This window comes from Homo sapiens, chromosome 12 (assembly GCF_000001405.40).
Source record: "Homo sapiens chromosome 12, GRCh38.p14 Primary Assembly".
NCBI classification, from domain to species: Eukaryota; Metazoa; Chordata; class Mammalia; order Primates; family Hominidae; genus Homo; species Homo sapiens.
The window spans coordinates 29,038,862-29,059,851 of record NC_000012.12 but is presented as its reverse complement, the minus strand read 5'-3'; the positions used below and the strand labels follow the sequence as shown (position 1 = coordinate 29,059,851).

General features: G+C 35.7%; 1 long non-coding RNA gene across 3 annotated transcripts, besides 2 other annotated features; it reads right to left on the bottom strand.

Moving 5' to 3' along the window:
• Positions 1 to 2,017: 2,017 nt before the first annotated feature.
• Positions 2,018 to 19,236, bottom strand: LOC101928735 (uncharacterized). Of its 3 annotated transcripts, XR_001749059.1 has the most exons (7): positions 18,960 to 19,236; positions 18,218 to 18,399; positions 17,844 to 17,984; positions 17,554 to 17,609; positions 7,048 to 7,160; positions 5,404 to 5,531; positions 3,719 to 5,040 (listed from the first exon to the last, which is right to left on the bottom strand). It is a non-coding gene; the product is annotated as an uncharacterized LOC101928735 (long non-coding RNA). The 3 variants fall into 3 exon arrangements; XR_242930.3 differs by lacking the exons at positions 3,719 to 5,040; positions 5,404 to 5,531; positions 7,048 to 7,160 and adding an exon at positions 2,018 to 3,693; XR_931469.2 differs by lacking the exons at positions 3,719 to 5,040; positions 5,404 to 5,531; positions 7,048 to 7,160 and adding an exon at positions 14,722 to 14,977.
• Positions 17,261 to 18,460: an enhancer, noted in NCBI's record as "CDK7 strongly-dependent group 2 enhancer chr12:29194325-29195524 (GRCh37/hg19 assembly coordinates)". NCBI's record gives its function as "activates an origin of replication core promoter dependent on BRD2, BRD4, P300/CBP, MED14 and CDK7 cofactors, with strong dependence on CDK7, by STARR-seq in HCT116 cells {active_cell/tissue: HCT116}" and the evidence as "EXISTENCE:reporter gene assay evidence [ECO:0000049][PMID:35650434]".
• Positions 20,550 to 20,750: a silencer, noted in NCBI's record as "peak1642 fragment used in MPRA reporter construct". NCBI's record gives its function as "represses an SCP1 promoter by STARR-seq MPRAs in K562 erythroleukemia cells {active_cell/tissue: K562}" and the evidence as "EXISTENCE:reporter gene assay evidence [ECO:0000049][PMID:32103011]".

Below are 20,990 nucleotides of genomic sequence, written 5' to 3'. Positions count from 1 at the left end.
TGAAGTTGTTTCTTTTAAGCACTTGAACTGGTAGGTGACAAAAAGTCAGGTAGTTGATGTAAACCCAAGTTTGAGTTAAGTGAGAGTAAAGGAGAAAGAGCTGGTCAGTAGGGAAAAGGAGGATGAAACAGACATCCAAAAAGAGGATAAGATGAGGGACCACACAGTCAGAAACAGAGACAGAGAGATGCATATTGCCTTGGCTTTTTAGGATCTTTTGGTTAATGGCCCTGGTTGGCAATGAGGACTCTGACATCAGAGTTCTGTGATATATTTATATTTTCTTCTAACTAAGTCACTCTTTTTGTAAATCTTTAATAAGATCTTGCAGGAGGTTATCTCTAAGTCAGGAATACATGTCTGAAGAGTGATTTTTTTTCTCAAGGTCAAGTGCACAAAGAGAACAAAAGAAAGAGAAGATGAGAAAGTAAAAAATTCAGAGAGCAGGGTAGTATGAGGTCTTATACAAATATGGAGTCCATATACTGTATCTTTCAAACTAGGACAACAATGGAAGTGAAATGGAGGACTTTCAATAGTTATGTTGATCCAATGGACTTAAACCAGACTGTCCTCTGTAGCCATGGTGTGTATGTGGTCATCCAAGGCATAAAAGAATCTTGTATAGCTAAAGGCAACGAAGGCAATGGTGGCAGGAAGGAGACTAATATCCAGAGGGAGAAGAGGCACCTGGAGACTTCCTACTCATGGGAAATCACTAAAGATAGCCATTAAAACATCATTGCTAATTAAGTGTTAACTTTTTTTTTTTTGAGATAATCTTGTTCTGTCATTCATGCTGGAGTGCAGTGGCATGGTCTCGGCTCACTGCACTGCAGCCTTTGCCTCCCGAGGTTCAAGCGATTCTCCTGCCTCAGCCTTTCCAGTAGCTGGGATTACAGGCACCTGCCACCACGTCTGACTAATTTTTTTTTTGGTATCTTTAGTAGGGATGGGGTTTTGCCATATTGGCCAGACTGGTCTCAAACTCCTGCCCTCAAGTAATACCCGCGCCTCAGCTTCCCAAAATGCTGGGATTACAGGTGTGAGCCACCACACCTAGCCTGTTAAAGTCTTAATTTCTGTTTAATTCATTTTGAATTTAAGGTTTCATGTTTTTGTTCCCTGCTAAAAGAATACAACAATTAAGATTGATTTGTCATTGTACAAAAATACGTTGAAGAATACAGACGCATTCTAAAGTAACAGAAGTTTTAGAAATTAGATATGTTAGAATTGCAATGGATTAATTAGTTCATACAGGAGGTGAAATTGGGAAATTGGGAAAATCCACAACCAACTTAGACATTTTATATTAACTTAAAACATATAAATGGATCTTCATGCACAGTTTTTTTTTCCTTTGGTAGATTAAGTATAGGTCCACTGTTGGAAGCTCAATGTTATTTTTCTTCCATTAAGCATTGATGCATCACCTTCAATGCCCAAGTTCAATTTCTTCACTGTGAAAGAAGAAATTTAAAGAGGAAAAACGGTCAAAGGGCAGAATCCTAGATTTTTATTGCTGTTTCCCTTAATTTGTTTATGTTTGTCTGCCTCTACCTAATTGGTTGTGGTTTTTATATGTCATTTACATTCATTGAGACTTTCCAAAGTTTTCCACTCAATTTTCATAGAAAAATTTTCTCACTCATAGTTGATAGCTTTTTGTAATATTTAATTAAATTGTGAAATCATCATAATAAATTTAAGCAGCATAAACATGTTTGGGAGAAATGCAACTGAGTCTTGGTACATGTGCAGCACGTGAGCGTAGGGGTGGGCAGGCTTCCGAAGCATTTGGTGAGACTTCATTGCCAGTCAACATGTGTTGTAGTGGGAATGAAGAGCTTGAGTAATCTGGTGAATTGGTTAAGGGCAAGTCTGAGGTTAAGTTTCTACCACATTATGTTAGAAAAATTACTTCATGTGAAGAAGATGGAAACATTTGGACATTCAGAATCCTGTGTTTTTGATTTTAAATGTTTATTAGAGTTTTAAAAATATATTTGTGAAAATAAGTAAGAAATAAAACAAACCATGTTTGGTGGAACAATGCATATCACTATGCAGAGCAAACAACACTGGGCCATTCGTGAATCCTCTGGAAAAGATCGCTTCAAATTCGATTATGAGGAAGATTCCTTTCACCAGCACCGTTTTCAGTATTTTTTGTTGTTGTTCCAGAAGGTGAAAAATGTCTCTAAGTTTGTATCTAAAGCGCATTACCAGCCATCAGGCAATGCAATTGTGATTCCCAGTCCAGTGGGAGTTAACACTTCAAGTAGTGAAAGGAGGTACAAAGGCCTCAGCCATGTTTGCACTGGCTCAGAGCTGGAGAAACTGTACATAAATCAACCTAGAACACACATGCAACCCTGGAAATAGGTTGTTAGAGTGAGTTACCATTTTAGAGACGTGAACATTGATTACTATCAATTTCAGAAAAAAAGTGTCTCCCAGAATGCTTGCTTGTGTGGGTTCTCTGCAGCAACTTTATAGACTTCATGTCACCCAATCCTCTTATCACAACTATGTGATAGGCACTTTGATCTCTACTTCACATTCAAGAAAACTGAGGCTCAGAAAATTTAGGTTAATTGCTAGGGGTCAAACAGCTAGTGAGTGACTGATACAAGGTCAAGCTTTTTTCTTTCCACACAGCTTGTTCCCTTCCTGGCATTAAGTGTCCATATGTGCAGGCCTGGAAGATGTAAATACGCTGAAACTAACTGGGCATTGCCCTTTAAATTTTGAATGAACCTTTTCTTTATAAAGGTTCTACATGCTATGATTTGTGTAAATCTTCAGTGTTAGTAATAATACCAATAATGATAATCATCCTTTCAAAACTGATTTCTCATATTCATGTATTAGCTTAAAGGTAAAGGCTTCCTAATCCTTGTCATGTAAATAGAAAATCTCTGCCTAAATTATTATAACTTAATGAGCTCAGTTAACTTCAAGTTATTATGTTAAGACCAGATTATTCAAAGTTGTTATTCATTTATAAGACTACTAATTATCAGTAGTATTATGTTGTTTATGAAATATTAATACAATAAGTGCACTAATGCCTGGAAACAAGTGCGTTGCTTAGATAATCCCTGGAGATTGTTTTGGGACTGCGGTTGTGAATAGTGTTTTTCTCTTTATTAAAGAAACAAAACAAAGAGGTTACTAACATCAGAGGAAAGGTATAGATTTTAATTTAATTTCAGTGAGGAGAAGACAAACAAAACAAAACTAGGGCCTGTTTGCCTCAAGTGTATTTGCTATTTCTAAAATGTAACTCAAACATGACATATGAATTAGTAGACCAAGGCTCCCAAGAGTTTTCAAGTCTTACATGAAAAGTAATAGAATGAAGAATAATACAGGGACTTCTAGCTTGTGACAGAGTTGCTGATTCAGAAAACAGAAAATAATAAAAAGCAGTTTTCTTGACTGTTTTGCAGAAGCCCAAGGTAAGTTGACACACCCTGAGGTGATCACTCATGTAAGAATTGGTGATGCCCATTCTTCACACTTGCATTTCCTCCACACGTTTGCTTGTGCCATTTTCCCCTCCGAGACTGTCTTCCTTATCCCCAGTTTCATGAGTTCAATCTTTCATGAACAGCTCATTATCAAACCTCTTCCCTGAAGCATTCTACGAACATCTTAGAAGTTTTCTCTTCATTCTCTAAATTTCTGGGGAATATAGGATTTTAAAAAATGATATATCTATATCAGGCACTGACTTAATGTATAGTTATTTATCTATATATCTTAACTCCCCTGTTTGTAAATAAAATCTGGAGCAAAAGAAATTTAACTTATATTTTATTGTATTTTCATTGTAACTTACAAAAGGAAGATGTTCAAAAAGGTGATATTAATGGCTATCGTATGAATAAATGACTGTGGAATGAATATATGTTTTCCCTCTGATATCTTTCCAACTAGTGGCTGATACCTGAAATCCAACTATTAGTGATACATTTCACTGGCGTAAACACTAGGTTTTTCCATAAAGAAAAATAATTCAACATTAGTCAGTGATCACTAATTGGTGGGAATGAATTTATAGATATAATCTATGTCTGAGCCATTATGGGAGGATGATGCTTTTGGGTAGTGGGAAGGGAAGGGCTACTAAAAGAGAGGAAGATTTACAGAAAAAGAGACACAAAGCCTTCTAGGCAAGGCAGAGGTAGATTTATGTCTATGCTTTCTCTAAACCCTGCCAGGTATAGATAGTCTCATGGGTGAGCTCATCTAAGAAAACATTTTTTAAAAAAGGTTTTTGTTCTTAAACTTAATTCCAACATGAATTACTCAAATCTAAGTCCTTCCTGGAACTTGGTACATATTGGCAAGTTTGATTCCTTCCAACTTTTTCAAACTGACCAGATCATTTGTTTGGAAGCAGCTAGATTTGTCTTCACCACATTAAAACATTTGTCTTCCTTCCGTCAATCTGTGGCAGGACACAGTTGTTATGGCTGTCTTGTCGATTAAGCCCATTTGGGGCTTTCTAATTGAAGCTTCAAATAGTGGCATCTGTTCTTCATCATCTTAATCTGTGGTCATTTTCCTGAAAGGCCAAAGATGGCCATTTCATCCTGAGACTGAAAATCAATATGCCTCTAACCTTATGTGGCCCAGATTTTATGAATAACATCCATGGTTTCATTCTGAAATGTTCCACCTTGCTTTGATTCTTGGAAAAATAGAGATCATTCTAATACCCTGCTTTCCAGATGGCTCTGTCTTTAGCCAACATTTAAGCAATGAGCCAGAGCCTGTTTACTAGAACAGTCCTGGGGAAATGCTCTCACGAGTATGCTACTGGGGATGCTGACTTTCCCATCAGATGCCACTGCAAATGACCCTGTGGTCAAATGGAGATTCTGACAGGTTGAGCACTGACAGGCATTTCCTGGCTTGCACAGCCTCAGATAATTTTTCACTGAAGACAGTTTGAATGATGAGCTAATTAATGCTTTCTGATGCTGGTTTATCTTCAGGTTAGACACATGAGATGCTGCAACAAGTCTGTAAATTCAAAGGAATAAAATCATACAACTTCTTATCCCTTTTTCCATGCTTGAATTGTACAATTTGTGAGATTTTTTTCAGGTAGAAGGAGTATATTATGATCACAGATAATCATCATAAGGTACCTTAACTATGCATGAATTACCCTTTTTTAACCTATATAAAGCATTTCATATTTATAGTATTGTTTAATCTTCTCAACAAATGTATGAGAAGAACAACTAAATTCAGAACAACTAAAATTAATCAAATGATTAAGAAATACAATTTATTCTCTCATATAAATAGGAAGATGGAGATAGGACAAATTTTAACTTGGATAATCCCATGGCTTAGCCAAATCAGGTTATATATTTTTACCTTCTTTTTTTCTACTCATCTTCTTGCCTTTGGACTCAGGGTTCCAAGATGGTAGTGGCAGTTCCAAGTGACACAAACAATCACTCTCCAGATATTTATTGGAAATCTGATTTGTGCTGGGCACTGTTCTGGATATTCAGGATATGATGATGGATAAAGTGAATAAAATATCATGTATTTATCTAATTTCTATTTAATGAGGAAAATTTAACCTTGTCCAACAGAAGAAGAGGAATCTCCTGTACTTTATATTTTTAAAAAACATCAGTAAGGAAAGTTGAAGTATAATTTAAATACAATGAAATGTAAAAATCATAAGGATTGACCAGAACTGAAAAATGCATACACATGTAACTACACTGCTATTAAGAGAGAGACCATTTCCATCACTCAAGAAAGTTTCCTCGTTCTCTCAAAACAGTTAATTCTCCACCCTCTCCCTGAAACAGTTATGTTCTTGTTTTTATCACCATAGAATAGTTTTGCCTCTTCTAGAATTTTACATAAATGGAGTCTTTCTGAGATTCATTATGTTGTTCAGTACTTCATTTTTCATTGCTGAATAGTATTCCATTTCATAAATATTTATCCTGATGCTGGACAGTTGGACTGTTTCCAGGTTAGGGCTATTATGATTGAAGCTGCTGTAAATACTCAGGTACAAGTCTCTGGATTTTAGCCATTTTGTAATTATTTCCCTGGTGATTGATGACGTAGAACATTTTCCATGTGCCTATTGGCCATTTGTACATCTCTTTAAATTGAAGTTTCTACTCAAGGTAGACTCACTTAAAAATTGAATGGTTTGTCTTTTTACTATTATGTTACAGAAACACTTTATATTTTAATTATTAATCTTTTGCTTGGCAAACATATTATGGATGTTTTCTTTCAGTTTGAGGCTCACATAATCATGGTCTTAATGATATCTTTAAATAAGAAGAAATACACATTTTAATGAAGTCCAGTATATTATACTTTAAAGGTTATTGCTACCTAGGCCTAAAGAAATCTTTGCCTACCCCAAAGTTTCAGAGGTATTCTCCTATCTTTCTTCCAGGAGCTTCATAGCTTTAGCTTAGTTTTAGTTTTATAACATATAATTTACCTAGAGTAAAATTCACTTTTTTTTTAGTACACAGCTCTGTCAGCTGTAATGGGTACATTAATTGTGTAACCAGCACCAAAATCACAATATAGAACAGTTTCATTACCCAAAAAAAATTCCCAATGCCCCTTTGAGATCAGCTCCTCCCTCCATTCATGGTCCCTGATAACTGCTGATCTGTTTTCAAATATTTGTGACCCTAAAGTTTTGCATTTCTCCAGAATTTCATATAAATGGAACCACACAGGATCCAGCCTTTGGAGCCTAGCTTATTTCACAGAGCATAATATATTTGGACATCACCCATCTTCTATCTTTATCAATAATCAGTTGTCTTTTATTCCTGTGTAATATTCCATTGTATGGATAAAGAGCTTCTCGGTCTTAAGTTGAAGGACAATTGGATTGTTTCTGGCTTTTGATGATTATGAATGCAGTTGCTATAAATATATGCATGCAGGTTTTTGTGTGAACGTAAGTTTTTGTTTCTCTTAGCAGTCAGATCGTTGGGTTATATATGGTAAGTGTAAATTTACCTTTATAGGAAACAAACTAGAAGACATCAGCAACATGGCAGAACAGGAGAGTCTTGACTCTTCTTCCACCCACAGATGCACTGAATAAACATTAACATGCTGATAAATTCCCTCTGAGAGAAAGTCAGAAATGAGTTCAGAGATTCTATGCACTGGGCAACTGAGAAAATACCCACATCGAACAGATAGAAACAGCTGAGGCACACATGGGCTCAAATCCCTCCCTGGATACTGTGCCATATGATGAGGAAGGCATTTCCAACATCCAACTTCTCCCTGAGATTTACAGTCAATTGATTTTTGAGGAAGGTTCCAAGTACCCACAATGAAGAAAGGATGGTCTCTTCAATAGATGCCATTGGGAAAACTGAATATTCACATGGCAAAGAATAAATTTGGAAACTTATCTAAGCCTATACACAAGAATCAACTCAAAATGAATTACATACTTAAACATAAGGCTTGAAATCATAAAACTATTAGAAGAAAAGATAGGGGAAAAGAATTATTATGTTGGTTTGGCCAATGATTTCTTAGATATGACCCAAAACCACATGTATCAAAGAAAAATAGACAAATGGGATTACATCAAACTAAAAAGCTTCTGCACAGCAAAGGAAACAATGAGCAGAGTGAAGAGAAACCCACAGATTGGAAGAAAGTATTTGCAAATCATAGATCTGAAAAGGGGCTAATGTCCAAATTATACAAATAAACAACTCAATAACAAGAAAACAAATAACCTTACTGAAAATGGGCAGGCCGGGCGCAGCGGCTCACCCCTGTAATCCCAGCACTTTGGGAGGCCGAGGCGGGCGGATCACGAGGTCAGGAAATCGAGACCATCCTGGTCAACATGGTGAAACCCCGTCTCCACTAAAATACAAAAAATTAGCCCTGCGCGCTGGGGTGCGCCTGTAGTCCCAGCTACTCGGGAGGATGAGGCAGGAGAATTGCTTGAACCCGGGAGGCAGAGGTTGCAGTGAGCCGAGATTGTGCCACTGCACTCCAGCCTGGAGACAAGCAAGGCTCTGTCAAAAAAAAAAAAAAAAAAAAAAAAGGCAAGGGATATGAGTAGACACTTCTCAAAAGAAGACATAAAAATGACCAACAGATATATAAAAATGCTCAATAGCATTAATTATCAAGGAAATGTGAATTAAAAACACAGTGAGTTATCACCTCACACATGTTAGAATGGCTATTAACAAAAAAATGAATGATAAGTGTTGGTGAGATGTGGAGAAAAGGGAACCCTTGTACACTATTGGAGAGAATGTAAATTAGCACAGCCATTTTAGAAAACAGTATAAAAGTTCCTCAAAAAAAAAAAAAAGAGATAGAACTCTTATATGATTCACCAATCCCACTTCTGGGCATATATCCAAACAAATTGAAATCACTATGTTGACGAGATATCTGCATTCCCGTATTCATTGAAACATTGAATAATGCTTCAATAGTCAAGATATGGAAACAGTCTAAGTGCCTATCAGCACATGAACAGGTAAAGAAAATGTGGTAAATATACACAATAGAACACTATTCATCCTTTAAAAAAAAGAAAATTCTGTCATTTGTGACATTGATCAATCTAGAAGACAATGTGCTAAGTGAAATAAGCCACGCACAGAAAGCCAAATATTATATAATCTTACCTATATGTTAAATCTAAAAGTGTCCGACTCATAGAAGTGGAGAGTAGAATAGTCACTACCAGAGGCTGGGGGCAGGGAGTGGGAAGGCAGAAAAGGAAAAGGGAAAGGTCAGTCAAGGGATACAAAGCTCAGTTAGGCAGAATAAATTCTAGTTATCCATTGCACTGCATGGTGACTATAGTTAAAAATAATATATTGTACATTACAAAATTGCTAAAAGATTAGATTTTAAGTGTTCTCACCACAAAGATACGATAAGTATGTGAGGTGAAAGATATGTTAATTGGCCTAATTTAATAATTCACATTATTCATAGTATCACATTGCGCTCCACAAATGTATACTTTTTTGTAAGTAAAAAATAAAATAAAATTTAAAAGGAGTCTGTCAATTGGTTTTCAAAGGAAACTGTACTAAGATACAGTCCCATGTGCAAAGTATGAGAGTTTCAGTTCCTCTATCTCTTCACCATGACTTGGTATTTTCAATTGTTTCTAAAAGCATTTTTGAAATGTTGATTATATAGATTAACTTTTAAGTGGATTTATTTACCATCTGTATACCCGATTTGATAGTTTTTATTTGGATCTTTTGCTCATGTCTTTACTGATTTCATTTTTATTATTGAGTTTTTACAGTTCTTTTTATATTCTGGATACAGTCTTTTAAAAAATTAATAGGTAACAGTTGTACATATTTTTGGGGTACATGTGTTATCCCGATGCCTCTATAAAATGTGTAATGATCAAATCAGGGTAATTGGGATATCTGTCACCTCAAACATTTATCTTTTGTGTTGGGAACATTACAGTTCTCTCCTACTTATTTTGAAATATACAATAAGTTATTAACCATAATTTCCCTACTGCATCAAATACTAGAACTCATTCCTTCTGTCTCTCTGTATTTTTGTACCATTTAACCAACTTCTCTTCACCCTGCCCCCCACTCTCTTCCCAGGCTCTAGTAACCACCATTCTACTCTCTATCTCCTTGAGATCCATTATTTTAGCTCCCACATATGAATGAGAAGATGTAATATTAGTCTTTTTGAGCTTGGCTTATTTCTCTTAACATAATCACATAATGACCCGCAGTTCTATCCATGTTGCTGCAAATAACAGGATTTTATTTTTTAAATGGCTGAATACTATTTTGTTGTTTGTATATACCACATTTTCTTTATCCATTCATCTGTTGTTGGATGCTTAGGCCGATTTCATATATGGCTATTATGAATAGTGCTGTAATAAACATGAAAGTGCAGAAATATCTTTGATATACTTACTGATTTCCTTTGCTCTGGATATGTACCCAACAGTGGAATTGCTGGATCTTATGGTAGTTCTGTTTTTTGAGGAATCTCCACACTGTATTCCATAATGGCTATAATTTACATTCCCACCAATAGTGTACAAGTGGTACATCCTCACCAGCATTTGTCAGTTTTTTTTTTGTCTTTTTGGTAACAGTCATTCTAGCTAGTTGTGGTGAGAGGGAATCTCATTGTGATTTTGATTTACATTTCTCTGATAATTACTGATGTCTAGCACTTTTTCATATCCTTATTGACCATTTGTATGTCTTCTTTTGAAAAATGTGTATCCAGATTGTTTCCCCCATTTAAAAGTCAGATTATTATTTTTTTGCTACTGAGTTCTTTATATATTCTGATTATTAATTTCTTGTTGGATGGTTGGTTTGTAAATATTTCCTCTCATTCTGTAGGTTGTCTCTTCATTTTTTTGGCTATTTCATTTGCTTTCAGAAACTTTTTAGCTTGATGTAATACCATTTGTCTAATGTTGCTTTTGTTGCCTGTGCTTTTAAGGTCTTACTCAAAAAAATCTTTGCCCAGACCAATGTCTGTAGTTTTCTTCTAGTAGTTTTATGATTTCAGACCTTACATTTAAGCCTTTAAGCCATTTTGAGTTGATTTTTTTTTTAATTTGGTGGAACAGAGGGATCTACTTTCATTCTTCTGCACATAGATAATCAAGTTTCTCCAGTACCATTTATTTAAGATACTGTCTTTTACCCAATATATGTTCTTGGTACCTGATATGGTTTGGCTGTGTCTCCACCCAAATATCATCTTGAATTGCAGTTCCCATAAGCTCCACATGTCGTGGGAGGGACCCGGTGGGAGGTGATTGAATCACGGGGGTGGTTACTCTCATGCTGTTCTCATGATAGTGAGTGAGTTCTTATGAGATCTGATACTTTTCTAAGGGACTTTTCCCTCTTTTCTCAGCATTTCTCTCACCTGCCACCATGTAAGATATGCCTATTTTTCCTTCTGCCATGATAGTAAGTTTCCTGGGGCGTCCCCAGCCTTGTGGAACTGTGAGTCAGTTAAACCTCTTTTCTTTCTAAATTATCCAGTCTCAGATATGTCTTCATAGCAGTGTGAGAACAGATTAACATAGCACCTTTGTTGAAAATAAGTTGGCTGTAGGTGTGTGGATTTATTTTTGGTTTCTCTGTTCTTTTCCATTGGCCTGTGTGTCTGCTTCTTGCCAGTATCATGTACTTTTGGTTACTATAGCTTTGCAACATAATTTGAAATCAGGTAGTGTGATGCCTCCAGTCTTGTTCTTCTTGCTTAGGATTGCTTTAGCTATTTGGGGTATTTTTTTGTTTCCATATGAATTTTATAATTGTTTCTTCTATTTCTGTGAAGAATATTATTGGTATTTTGATAGGGATTGCTCTGAATCTGTAGGCTGCTTTGAGTACTATATACATTTTAACAATATTAATTCTTCCAATCCATGACCACGGAATATTCTTCCATTTTATTGTGTCCTCTTCAATTTGTTTCAACAGTGATTTATAGTTTTTCCTGTAGAGATCTGTTACCTCCTTGGTTAAATGTATTCCTAAGTATTTTGTTTTTGTAGCTATTATAAATGGGATTGCTTTCCTGTTTATTTTCAGATTGATTGCTCTTAGCATATATAAATGTTACTGGTTTCTGTTTGTTGATTTTGTATCTTATAACTTTGATAAATTCATTTATTAGTTCTAAGATTTTTTTTGTGGAGTCCTTAGGTTTTCATAAAGATTAGATCATATTATCTGCAAATAAGGCCAGTTTGACTTCTTCCTTTCCAATTTGGATGCCTTTTGTTTTTTTCTCTTGCCTAATTTTTCTGTCTAAAACTTCCAGTACTATGTTGAATAAAAGTGGTGAAAGTGAACATCCTTGCCTTATTCCAGATCTTAGTGGAAAGGTTTTTAATTTTTCCTTGTTCATTTTATTAGCTGTGGGTTTGTTATAATGGCCTTTATTGTGTTGAGGTATTCTCCTTTGATACCCAATTTTTTGAGTTTTTATCATGAAGAGAGGTTGAACTTTATTGAATGCCTTTTCAGAATCCACTGAGATTATTATATGGTTTTTGTCTTCAATTCTGTTGAAGTAACATATCACATTGATTGATTTGTGTTGTTGAACCATCCTTGCATCCCTGGAATGAATCCCACTTGATTGTGGTGAATGAACTTTTAACTGTGTTGTTGTAGTTGGTTTGCTATTATTTTATGGATGATTTTGCATTTATTTTCATCAGATGTATACAAAATCTTTAGCAGATATGTTATTTACAAATTGTTTCCAGTCTATAAGTTACTCTTAACAGAAGAGTAAAAGCTCTTAATTTGATGGAGTTCAGTTACTCAATTTTTATGGATCATACTTTTGGTATCATATCTAAGAAAACTTTTTCTAATTCTAACTTAGATTTTCCTTTATATTCCCTTCAAATAGCCCAACTTACTCAATTGTGTTTGGATCCTTGTCAAAAATCAGCTGACCAAATAGATGTGGGCCTGTTTCTGGATGTTAAAATCTGTTCCATTGATCTACATGTCTACCTTTATGCTGAGATTATACTTTCTTGATAACTTCAGCTTGATAGCAAATCTAAAATTAGATATTGTGAGTCATCCAATTAAAAAAAAGTTTTGGAAATTCAACTGCCTTTTTCTTTATACAAATTTAGAATCAGCATGTTCATTACTGCACAACAATTTGCTGGGATTTTACTTTTAAATATTATTGAATCTATACATCAGTTTAGGGAAAATTAAAATCTTTATAACTTTGAGTTCTCCAATCAGTAAACATGGTATTTATTTCCACTCACCTGTGTCTTTTTAATTTGTTTTTTAGTTTTCAGCAGGCAGATTGCACATATTTTGTTAAATTTATACTCAAGTATTTAATGTTTTTCAGTGCTATTGTAAAATGGTACTTTAAAACATTTTATTTTCCAATTGTTTTTGCTATAATATAGAAATATGATTTATGTTTGTATATTGGCCTCATGTCCTCCAAACTTTCTAAACTCACATAATAGTTCTAGTAGCTTTTTAAAATAAATTCTTTGGAATTATTTATGTGAATATTTATGTTAACTACAAGTAGAGACAGTTTTATTTTTCCTTTTTAAAATAAATGTCTTTTATTTTTTCTTTCCAGATTCTATTATCTTAGGATGTTGAATAGGAATCATGAGAGAAGACATCCTTGCCTCATTATTTATCACAGAGAAAGCATTGTTTTTCAACATCAGATATCATGCCAACTGTGGGTTTTTGGTAGGTGCTTTTGTTATTAATATATTGGAGAAGTCTCCCTTTATTTCTAGTGTGCTGAATTTTTATAATGAATAGATGTGAAATTTTGTCAAATGTTTATTGTGTACTTATTGAGATAATCCTATAATCCATTGCTACTCTTTTTGTGTAGACATTCAGTTTGCCTCCAACTTCGTTTTTCTTTCTCAGAGTTGCTTTGCCTTTTCAGAGTCTTCTGTGGTTCCATTTGATTTCAAGATATTTTATTTCAATTTCTGTAAAGAATGCCATTGGAATTTGGATAGGTATTGTACTGGGTCTGTAGATTGCTTTTGGTAGTATGGCCATTGATTATTTATTCCTAAGCATGGGATTTTTCCCAAGTATTTGTGTTTTCTTTAATTTTTTGTATCAGCGTTTTGTAGTTTTTATTTCTATAGTGTACAAGTCTTTCACTTCCTTGGTTAAATTTATTCCCAAGTACAGTCATGTACCACATAATAATGTTTTGGTCAACAACAAACTGCATATACAATGGCGGTCTCATAAAATTATAATGGAGCTGAGAAATTTCTGTTGCCTAGTAATGTTGTAGACATCATAATGACATCATGCAAGGCACTACCCACACCTTTGAGGTGATGCTGGTGTAAACAAACCTACTGCACTGCCAATTGTTTAAAAGAATATGGTAATGTGCTTGGCCTTTATATTCACTCACTTCACTTCTCTTACTCATGGCTCACCCAGATCAAGTTCCAATCCTGCAAGCTCCATTCATGGGAAGTATCCTATACAGATATACTGCTTTTAATCTTTTGTAACATAGAAAAGGAGGTACAGTATATACAGCAGGAGTCCCATAAGATTATAATACCATATTTTTACTGTACCTATTCTATGTTTGGATACACAAATACTTACCATTGTATTATAATTGCCTACAGTATTCAGTACAGTAACATGCTGTACAGATTCGTAGCCTAGGAGCAATAGGCTGTCCTATATAGCCTAGGTGTGCAGCAGACTATACCATCTAGGTTTGTGTAAGTACATTCTATGATGTTTGCAAAATGATGAAATTGTCTAATTACACATTTGTCTGAATGTATCCTCATTGTTAAGTGATACATGACTGTATTCTTTTTGATGTTATTTTAAATGAAATTGCTTTATTGATTTATTTTTCAGCAAGGTCATTATTCGTGTATAAAAATACCACTGATTTTTGTGTATTGATTCTGTATCTTAAAAATTTCCTAAATCCATTTATGAGTTCTAACTTTTTTTGTGTGTTGTGGAATGATTAGGGTTTTCTACATATAGACTTATGTCACCTGCAAATTAGAGACAATTTTACTTTTTTCTTTCTAGTTTGAATGCCTTTTATTTCCTTGATTGTCTGATTGCTCTTGCTGGTACTTACAGCAGTATGTTGAATAGAAGTGACAAGAGTGGACATCCTTGTCTTGTACTGGATTTTAGTGGACTTTCTGTTTTCCCTCATTAATTATAATGTTAGCTGTAAGATATCAATAAACTCTATCTGTCCCTTTTATCAGTGAAGCATATGTTTTCCAGAAGGTCCCCCAGCAGACCTCTGCTTCAGTCTCTGTGGCCAGAAGTATGTGACATAGTCATCTGTATTTGCAAGGGAGGCTAGATAAAAAGTGTAGGCACTCCGGCTTCTATGGAAGAAACAAACAGAGAGATGAGTTCATAATGGATGTTGCCTAAATAACCAGCATCGAATGCTCTAGTACCCCTCACCACATGCTTAGAACTACTTCTTTAGTGGAATTTTTCACGTTCTGCAGCATTAGAAGTTTTACTCCCAGGATCTGTATAGCTGTGGAAGAAAAATAAATTCTACCTGAAAGTTCAAGGGCTCAGATAACATTTAGATGGAGCTTTAATTCTACAGGTGGTAACTGATTTTAGAAACTTGCAGAAGATAGTTAATACTGTCCCCAATTTTTCTTTATGCACCGATTTATGCTTGAAATTCTAGTTTTACCCTTAAAAAGCTTTTTATTCTCTTAAAAATTTTGATTTTATTTTATTTTTTCTTTTTCAACTTTCATTTTAGGGTCAGTGGATACATGTGCAGGTACGTGTGTCTTATGGGTGTCTATTTTTCCCATGATAAGTCTTTTATTCTAATTAAAATACATAGAACATCTCTGAGGTAACAGTTGAAGATGTTAACCAGAATTTTACAATTTCCTATAAAGTAAGGAGCTGCAAGTAAATTTTTAAAGAAAGCATTACCACACTGAAGGGAGTACAATATGAGAATCAAAGACTAATTTCATCCCCTTCACAAGTTTGTCTGGAATGAATCCTTTTATGTAATTCATCATGCTGGTTTATACAGTATGTATTCCTGTGATAGTCAGAGGTTTAATTGGACTCTTTGCTTCCTTTATCCAGAGAGTAGACACCAGCTAATATTTGTCCCTAGTTTTTTCCTGTTACTCTCCTATAGAAACCAAAGTAGTCACCTTGCTGGTTTCAAAATGTACTGTGCACTTTCCTGCTTCTTGACTGCTCAGTGAACGTCCCACCAGCAATGCCTTCCCTGTCCACTGAAATCTTGCTCGTGGTCCAGTGCCATTTTCAAATACTCCCTTCTTTGTTCATTCCTCTCAGAGTATTTCATCAGAATTTCTCTTTGAGACACTGATCATATGCTGACTATTGTGGCAATTATTGTATTACATCCCATAATGTCCTTTATTTTTGAGAGTGATAATTAGCCATCTCTGTAGTGCCAGACAAGGCAACTATCACACTATAGGCACTTAATTTTTACTCTATTTGTAGAATAATTTTCTGTAATAAATGAATAAATAGAGTCATACTGTGGCTTCAGTGATCATTGGCCTGAACAGATTGAAAATCTCCTAAATCTCCACTGGGACTAGCACCAAATATCCTGTGCATGTTTTTTTTTTAATGAAGAGCTCACTTTTGACACTGTGTTTTAGTTGTTCCTGTTGTTATATTTTAGAGACATAATTGAAAATAATAAATGAAGGACAATAATCACTAGAATATATAAGAAACAAGATTTCTTAGCATTTTGCACAAAAATGTATGATGACCAGTAATTTATTTAGATAACTTTTCAGAGAACTAAGTTGCTCATCTTGGTTACTTGCAATGACTAGATTGTTTGTCTTATTGTAGCAACCATTCCATCTGGTGATAGTCAGTAGTTAAACTGAATTCTCCTTTATTTGTCGAAAGAGTACATGACTTAATAAAACTGCAGGATTATGAATAACATGTCATGTTTTGGGGGAGGGTAGGTCATTTGATCCAGGAAAGAAGATTCATAGTTAAAATTGCCTGCCTTTCACTGAAAATTAACTCAAAACAGACCTATAGTAAGCAGTAGAGCAACTGTGTTGAAAGATGAGAGATGATTATTGACTGGAGAAAAAAATTGTTTATTTTATGGGTAGCACAAAAACATGTTACTCCTGAGTCTTGCTGATGTCTAAAGATGTTGCCAGTACACTAAATAGAGACGAAACTGATCAAATCATTATAAACAAACGATCACTGGGAGAATATATATTTTAAAACATTAGTATAAATAAATAGTAATTTCCCATTTTCTTTCCCTTAGGAGTGTGTCTATTATGATACTTCAAAAATTTCAAGAACTTAAAGTATAATAAAAAAAATTTCAAGTGACAAACTTTTCTTCCTTTTTTTTTTTTTTTTTTTTTGAGACTGTGTCTCATTCTGTCACCCAGGCTGGAGTGCAGTAGTGGCCAGATCTTGGCTCACTGCAACCTCTGCCTTAAGTGATCCTCCCATCTCAGCCTCCTGAGTAGTTAGGACTACAGACACATGCTACCATGCCCAGCTAATTTTTTGCATTTTTGGTAGAGACAGGGTTTCACCATGTTGCGCAGGCTGTTCTCGAACTCCTGAGCTCAAGCCATCCATTCATCTAGGCCTCCCAGAGTGCTGGGATTACAGGCAGGAGTCACAGTGACCAACCCAGACTTTGCATTTTCAAAACATTGATTGTTTTTTATTGTGTCTCTGATGAAGTGATTTCTCACCCACAGAATCTGGGAATTCTATGATTTTCAGGAGCAGAAACAGTCCTAAGCTAGGAATAAAACGATTGCAAAAAATTCACTAAAGTTCAGAATTGTTTCTGAATTAAAGAGATGGCAGGTATAACTAAAGGAAAGGAGAATTTCGATCCAATAATTTCAAAGACATGGGGCTGCTGACTTACCCCTTTCTGTCATTGTAGGTGCTCATGAGACTATGTGGGGGTTTCCAAGAAGAAACCTGGAAAAGGCAAAGTAAGGAAACACATTTCAGATCTCTATAAGAATGCAAAATGACACTGAATGCTGCCTGCCCCACAGCCCTCCACACATGGTAACCTTCTAATTACAGAATTTCCATCCAATCTCCTTTGAAAGCTTACGAATAGTCTTTTCCTTTCTTCCTCTTTTTCAGGCTTTGTTTCCCCTTAGATCTGTGATGCTGTCCTTATTTCATGAAATCAGGATTCCTTACCTTCCGGAGACTCAGTTACTGATTTAGAGAATTATTTTTCTTTTGTGAAGATGTCAACAAATTGTTCAAGACCGCGTTCTTGAAACAGCCTGTCTTTGGTCTTTTGAAGGTCAAAGTCCATGGACATTAAATTTTATTACTCTAGAAAGAACCACAAGACATTAGTCACTGCTAGTTGCATTCTTATGCTATGAAAGACTTTTATTACTCCTGTTTCTATATATAGAACAGTTCCTCCGTTTTCCCACTGTTTTTAGAACAAACTTTTATGCCCCTATACTGTCACCCATTCTGCAGCAGAAACTCTGCTAAGCTCAGCAGACACTTCAGAAGTGCTTGGTTCTGAGACATCTGAGGCATTGTTTGAACTTTACCTCTGATTTGTGGTCATGGCAAGGGCAAGATGTTTAAGTTCTTCAATCTCGGATGCATATAAGTCTGGGAATCCATCAGCAAGGGCCTTGGGCTCAGTCTTCTGTAAGTGATCATTCTTGTGAACAATCTCTTTCCACTTCATCATGGTGCTCTTGGATGGCCCTCAACAGGAAGATCAAGACTGCAGTGAAAAGAAAATACACCACCTTACTCATATAAACTGAAAACTCACTGATAATGTTTGTGCATTTTTTACACTTGACTTTATAATATGATAATTTTTAATGTCCTTAGATAATTTTAAAATATGAGTTATGAGTTGAATAGTATGTAATGTGTTAACATATAAGTGTATAAGTATATACATATGTATATGAGTAACATGTGCATGTTAACATATGAGTGTATAACAGTTTATGTTAACTATGTAACAATTTACTTAATTTTTGAACAGATTTGTTAAATATATAAATTTTTTATTTTTAAAACATTGAATTGTACTAAGGATCTTATTCTTAATGATTTTTGTTTGTTTGTTGATTTAGTTTGATTTTTTGTTGTTGTTGTTGTTGTTTTGAGACAGGGTCTTGCTCTGTCACCCAGGCTATGTTTTGCAGGAGAGCAAACCTGACTCACTGCAGACTCAACTCCTGGGCTCAAGTGATCCTCCTGCCTCAGCCTCCAATATATCCGAGACCACAGGTGCATGCTGCCACACCTGGTTAATTTTTAAAATTTTACCTTGGGTTTGAACATCAGAATGCTAACAGAAGTTTCTTAACTTTCCCTTTATCTCCTCTCATATTTATGCTGAGGCTCTTAGGGAGTAGAACTGAAAACAAAATAGAGGCAAGGCCTTCTGGTTTTTCGAAGCAGCAGTTTATCAGTTCCAGGGAACAAAGCAGGAGAAAGATGACTTGGCATGAACTCTCAGGGCTGGCTCCCTTGGTGTTGGTAAAGGTGAGTCCCTCCAGGTAGTAGCATCAGTTACTTGGGCATTTATGTCTCCATGGAGACCGGGGAGAGAATAATAGGGCACTCCTCATTTTGAACTCAGAGGGAGGAGCTGCTCTGAATCTACTTTGTCTTAAAGTGACTGAAAACTTCAGACCACACAACTGGATGTAAGATGGGCAGTAAAAAACAGACACTTGGACACTTGGTTTTAGTTTGGGCCCCCTGTCCAGTGTACGGTGGCTTTTCGACTCTGTGCATGAGGCCACCCCACTCCTCTTCTCAGTACTTTGAAGCTTCTGTTTATTTGGATGATTCTTTCTTAGTACTAAAATACATTTTCCTCTATGTGCTCCCTCACTGTTTTACTGTTACCTCTAACGCCCTGAGTAATTTCCCCTGGCCCACCTCTGATTTCAGCCATAACTGTGATGATAGTTCAGCGCAACCTTAGAATCACCTTGTACTGACAGGTGCACCGTGCATCTTTTCACTTTCTGTTCTAGGGCTATCTCACACTCTGCAGAAGCCTGGAAGATCCTGCTTAGCCCATGCGCAAATTCAGTCTAGAATTTCAGGGTAGTAAATAACCATCCATAAATAGGATGAGAGCCAGTGTATAAGGACTACAGGCTTCCATTCTTTGGACTGTTAAGTTATAATTCTAGGAAATATTTTGCATGCTTTTCTTGAGGTTCTCATTGTCCACAGCAGATATTTTGATGTTTCCTTATATTTTCCTCTCTTCCTTCCTTGTTTCACTCCTTTCATTACTTCACTCCTGTGTCCTGGGATTATATCCCAAATATAATAAAATATCCTCACCCATGTCCTTGTCCTATCCACTGCTTTCAGAGAACCCAAACTAAGACAGTTGGCATACAAGTGGTCCTTAGAAGCCAATTCTCAGAATTGGATTGTAGAACTGGTATACTAACCAGTTAGAAGAAGTAAGGATGGCATTGCTGGTATGAGTAGAGAGGTGATAAACTCCAGGGTGGTCATAACTGTGTTGCAGCATTACAGTTACTAGGATGCTCACCAGTGCTGGATTTGGAGAAGGTACAGATATAAGGAGAAGCAATGGTGTGTAGCAGGGATTGGACTATTAGAAGTTGTGGGCCAAATATGATTCATTGCCTAATTTTATACATAAAATCTTACTGAAACACAGCCATGACCCTTCACTTATGCATTGTCTATGGCTGATTGCATGCTGCTAAAGCAGAGTTTAGTATTTTCAACACAGACCCTATGGCCAAAAACATAAAAGAAAATATTTACTATCTAGCCTCTTACAGAAAAAGATTTCTGACTCTTAGTGTACAGCGTGGGTTAATCTCAGCCAGACTGGATTTGTTGGTTGCATACTTATCTCTGAAGTTGCCAGAAGCACAGTACTCATCATCCTTGTCCAATGCACTAACTGAGATAAACCGTGTTTTGCAACCAAGGGTCTGTGAGTTGTTTGGGAACAAACGTAATTACCAGTTAGTATTGCTTAGTAATGTAACATGTGTTACATATGTTTTGGATTTGACTTGCAGCTGGTTTCAGTAGAACCCATGGGGTTTTAATGCTTGAGGCTGGTCACATGGCTGGAATATGCTTACATAAACAACTCATTATAAAAGACTCCTGCCATAAAGACAAATTAGCACTGTTGGTATTCTAAGTGGGACTGCTGAAGACACCCCTGACTCACTCTGTAGAGAAGTGGCTAAGATGGTCTTGAGGAAAGAGAGAAGAAAAGAAAAAAACATTAAAATGAACTTTTCATGGCTGAAATGGTTACCAAATCACCCTTGGTTTGAAGTG